Here is a 3,841-nt window from a genome sequence, read left to right on the forward strand (position 1 = left end):
TTTCCATTGGGCAATGTGCTTAGCAACTTGCACATTAAGCCTTCTATTAAGATTATATTAATATCATAAATATGCAAAAAGGAAACCACTCTGAAAGTTCAAAATAATAACAATAACCTTTCCCTCAAGTAAAACCTTTTATCTTGAGATCTCTATGCACTTTCCCAACAAGCCTGAGTATCCTTGCCCAGCCACTTTTGCAAGGAGACAGTTAAAATGCCGCCTTCACTTTATTCACTGACTCCAAATGCTAGTTAGGATCACCGGAAAGCAAAGCAGATGCCTAATGTAATCATGATTTTAATTCTTAACATTTCCTACAGCAGCATTTATAACCTTTAAGAAAACAGGACCTCTAGTCTGTAAAAAGCCCCAAGTGGATGTCTCTTTCTTCTTTGCTTTATTCTTTAGCCATGGCAAGGAAGGGGCAGAAGGTTGTAATTCTGGCAAACTCCCACACATGCAACATGGACTCATATCTCTCACAAAGGACACACATGCACACTGATGCAATCACGTCTAGAAATGAATCAGTGCCCTTGAGACAGGAGCTCGTGACTAATGCTCTCTGAGTAGCGCAGGGGCAGCTTGGCAAACCAACTATATCGGGGCCAGCACAGAACAAAGCACAGGTGAGCAATGAGCTATAGCACAGGGAGAGGGAGGGGCTGATCCATGTGGTTCCAGGGCTTGAAACACATCATCTGAAGGTAATTCCCATGTAATTATAGAGCGCCAAAAAGGGAAACTGAGCTTTGGCCTGGGTCATGCGTGCAAACGCACTGTAGGATCTATGGTGACTTCCTTTACTTTTCTTGGACTCAGTTTCCTTATCTCGAAAAATGAGGAATTGTAGCACAACAGAAAGACTCCTTTCTCCTTCCACACCCTATGAAATACTCAAAGGCATTGCTTCCTGTTCCCTCAACAGAAAAAAAAGAATGTCATAAAAAGAAGTGGCGGGAACTGTTCTCCTAAAAAATATTTTAGATACTCAAAAATGACTGACAAGTTCTCCAGGTTGTTTCAGCACTATTTGTTCTGTTTGAAACACTAAACAAGCAGGAATGGTAGAGAAAAAAAAAGTGTTTCTCTCTTTATCCTAAAGTATAGTCATGCACTGCATAATGCTGTTTAGGTCAATGATAGACCACATGTGATTATAACACCATGTTTTACTGTACCTTCTCTGTGTTTAGATACACAAATACTTACTATTGTGTTACAATTGCCTACAATGTTCAGTACAGTAACATACTGCACAGGTTTGTAACCAGCCCAGGAGCAATTGGCTAGATGACACAGCCTAGGTGTGTTGAAGGCTGTATCACGTAGGTTTGTGTAAATGCATTCTAATGTTCGCACAACGATGAAATCGCCTAATGATGCATTTCTCAGAACGTATTCTCATCATTAGGTGATGTATGACTATAATGTCCATGGAAGACATTTTACCAACACATGTACACTTCTGTGGGTATTTCTCTGACAATGTCTAGTCTCCTAGAAGTGCCTAACGTGGAGTGTGGAGTATCTTTCACCACAGTGCATAATTCTGCCTAGTCACCACTTTCTCTAAGACATTTATCCTCTAAAGCATCTTTTTCCTGGAATCACATCCCAGGGAGTAATTTATTAAAGAAATAACCAAAATCCATAAATTTGTCAGCCTTGTTTCTCTCCTGAAGGAGAGGTAAAAAAGAAAGATAACCTTCCGCAGCTTGGGTCAGCCGGACTTAAATTGAAGGGGTCGTTAAAGCAAATATATGAATGTTTGGGGAAAGGGAGGCAAGGAAGGACCCTTGAGAGAGACGAGTGACTGCTCAGTCTCAAGCAGTGTCTATTACACACAAATATCCCAAGATTTCCCCTTTGCCTTTGACAAACTGGGAGGAGGGAACAGGTTGTCCCAAAAATTGATGTGACTGGAAACCAAATTTTTTCTACTGTGGAGGGTGTCTGCAGTCTTAATTACTCCCTTCAAATGGAAGAACAAAGCTCCCATGGAGGAACTGGAGAGAGCTGAGCTGAACTGAGCTGTAGGTTGATCATATTTCAAGGTTTGCTTGTAATCAATACTACTTTGGTCACCCCCAGACCATTACTGCAGAAGCCTCCTTACCAGTATCAGGATCCTACTTTGCTCTGCAGCCACTTCCTGGAGTTCTTCGAAAACTCTAAAAGAAAACAAAACCCAAACACATCACATCAGAAAGATGAGGCATTGAGAAACTTTATAAGCTTAAGAGGAAGTAGATGCTTGTGTAGGGGAGTTTTTAGATTAGGGAGAAAGAGACAGACATACGAAGAGAGAAAGTCAGTTCTATTTCCAGAGAAAATAAGAAGTTGTTTTGTTGAAGATTAAACCTATTATCAGGGCCGAACCAGATCCACCAATAAAGTAGTACTCTTTATTGCTCCTCAAGTGTTTGGCATAGGTATTTTCCACTTGCAGCTAGCATCTTAACTGTATATCTAAAACTGACATTTGCAAAACCAAACAGGTGAGGGGCCATATTGGCTCTGGAAAAGAATTCACATCCCTAATACACAGAAAATATGATTTATAAAAATCCACTTTTTTTTCATAGAACCATTCAGGAGCACAGCATTGATAGAAAGTGAATATTCCTAGACTCTAACATAAAAAAAAAATCTAGTCAAAATGTATCATACAGTGTTGTTGAAAGAAATTGCACATACATGTAGAAAACAACTTTACATTGAAAAAAATCTTTACTGTTCATGGATTAGGTTTTACCTAAAGCCCTATTACTTGCAGTTGTGCTCATCCCACAGATGTTTACTCATAATCTATCTTGCTCTTTATAAATCAAGTCAACAACTATTACATGTCTTTTATGGACTCCAAATTTCAAGAACTCTGTGAGAGGCATACAAACAACATATATATAACGCACAGCTATCCATGACATGGATTTCAACTGTATCCCCCAATAACCCAGGTTCTTCAGGTCATAAATGGATGGGCTTTATCTTCTAACAATCCACACGATCTGTAGCAGATTTTCCAGATGGTAAGCAATGGAATGACCAACTGTCCAGGTTTTCCCAAGACTGAGGGAGTTCCTTGGTTGTGAACGTTTCAGTACTAAAACCAAGATCTCAGGCAAACCTGGATAAGTTGGTCATCCTAGAGAGTTGAGGGAGAAATGACATCATTCAATTATATCAGTGTAGTAATCACATACTTGTCCTCTGCTTCTTCCTTGTCTTTCTTTCCTTCCCTTCCTATCCCATCTTACTCTCTTAGGATAGCTCTATGGCACAGTGACTAAGAACCAGATTGTGGTTTCCAAATAGATACGGGTCTAAATTCCAGCTTTGCCATGACTTTTTAAAAATCTTGTACAATTGACTTAACTTCTCCAGTCCTGCTTCCTTACTAGTGACACATGAGAAAATGCATATGAAGTACATACCATCATGCCTGACACATACATCATGCTTTATACATGTTAGTCACTATTGTCTCTGGATCATGCCCTTATGGATACTTCCAGCTTCCAGGGTTCTGGTTCTAATGAGACCAATATCAGGGCATGCTATGGATCAACAGGAATTAAACCTTCCCACCGCAGTGCATTTGCAGAGCCCTATGCAAATCAATCCTTTGACGTTTCATTAATGAGAACGCAAAAAGTAGGTACAACTGAAAGCAAGAAGTAGGTATAACTGCAGCAACATCCTGATTACCCAGAATTTTTCCAACTTTTCTCATCCAATCTCTTCAAGCAACCCCCTTGCATTATTGTTCCCATATGCTCGACACCCAAGCACATAGAGACATACGCATCACATAAACACACAGAGGGACACA

General features: G+C 39.9%; 2 annotated features.

The window, feature by feature from the left end:
* Window positions 388-567: an enhancer, noted in NCBI's record as "active region_17033". NCBI's record gives its function as "activates an Ori minimal core promoter by ATAC-STARR-seq in GM12878 lymphoblastoid cells {active_cell/tissue: GM12878}" and the evidence as "EXISTENCE:reporter gene assay evidence [ECO:0000049][PMID:35858748]".
* Window positions 3,745-3,794: an enhancer, noted in NCBI's record as "active region_17034". NCBI's record gives its function as "activates an Ori minimal core promoter by ATAC-STARR-seq in GM12878 lymphoblastoid cells {active_cell/tissue: GM12878}" and the evidence as "EXISTENCE:reporter gene assay evidence [ECO:0000049][PMID:35858748]".

The sequence above is a fragment of the Homo sapiens genome, chromosome 2, assembly GCF_000001405.40.
Source record: "Homo sapiens chromosome 2, GRCh38.p14 Primary Assembly".
Lineage (NCBI taxonomy): Eukaryota > Metazoa > Chordata > Mammalia > Primates > Hominidae > Homo > Homo sapiens.